This window comes from Homo sapiens, chromosome 6 (genome assembly GCF_000001405.40).
Source record: "Homo sapiens chromosome 6, GRCh38.p14 Primary Assembly".
Classification (NCBI taxonomy): Eukaryota; Metazoa; Chordata; class Mammalia; order Primates; family Hominidae; genus Homo; species Homo sapiens.
The window spans coordinates 97,996,680-97,997,895 of record NC_000006.12 but is presented as its reverse complement, the minus strand read 5'-3'; positions in this window follow the sequence as shown (position 1 = coordinate 97,997,895).

The window sequence follows — 1,216 nt, the reverse complement described above, 5'->3', positions numbered from 1 at the left end:
GTTGAGATCATCTCTTAAGATTCTTTTTAGATTTAAAAATACATGACTGCTATGCGCAAAATGCTGTATTTGGCGCTATGGTATATATAAGGAAGTAATGTATCATGATACCTGACTTCAAAGAACTTATAATTTGGTTGAGTAGGAATAACTACACAGTCTCAGTTGGTAAGTGTGAAATGGGTGTAGCAGATAATAGGCCATATAGGTACCAAAGAAGAGAGAGATCACTGAGGGTTTTGGAGAACAGGTTGGGCTTCTTTGAAAAGAAGCAACATGAGGTGTGCATCAGAAGTTGTATAGGTTTTAGATAAGCTAAAGCAGGAAGTGACTTATGGTGAGAAGAGCGCCAAATTGAATGAACTAAGTTTTAGGGAGTGTGTAGCTGTTTAGCTGTGCTAGAAACTCCAAGAAGGTGTATACTTTGAGTGGTAAAAGAAGGCTGAGTCAGAAGGCTATTGGAAAGTCACATCAATTTCCTGGGCATTTGTGAAGTATGCAGTTCTTGAAAGTGGTTCTGAGCTCAGTAGAAAATAAGAACCTATGGTAGAATGGTTTGGCTACACAAATCAGATCACAAGATCCATATTAAAATGAAACCAAGTCAGTTCAGCAATCTCAATCAAGTAAAGGTAGACATGAACTATAATAATGTTCTTGAAACTCTTAAATTTATTCTCAAAATAACAAAACTTTAAAAATTGCATGTTTGTTACAAAGAAAGTTGTAGTCAATGCTGTGACATGTTATTTTATAAAAGCTGGGTTATAACCATATTTTGTGCAACTAACACCCAAGTATTTAAAGATAAGGTAGTTTAATAAGACTCAAAAACCCTTTGACTACTTGTGGGACATTAGGCTAGTTGAATGAGAAAATGAGATTCAATAACCTACACCAACCAAATTTGGTATATTTATACATTATTGGAATTCTGTTTTGTAAAAATAGAAATTACAATGAAATTAAAACTATATGCAGGAAGATCCAGGAAAGTCTAATAAAATACCTAAGAAGCATGCCTGCTTTACTAGTAAGGGAAGACGACATTTTCATACATAGGAATCTGATAAAGATTTTCAACATCAAGTCAAATCAATCTCAGTGTTCTACGGTAAGCAGCTGTAACTTCACAGTGTTTGGAAAAAAATAACTTGCTAGACTGGAAAGTACTGCATTCAGTGCTATCTTCTACAAACTCTTTACCTCTCATGTG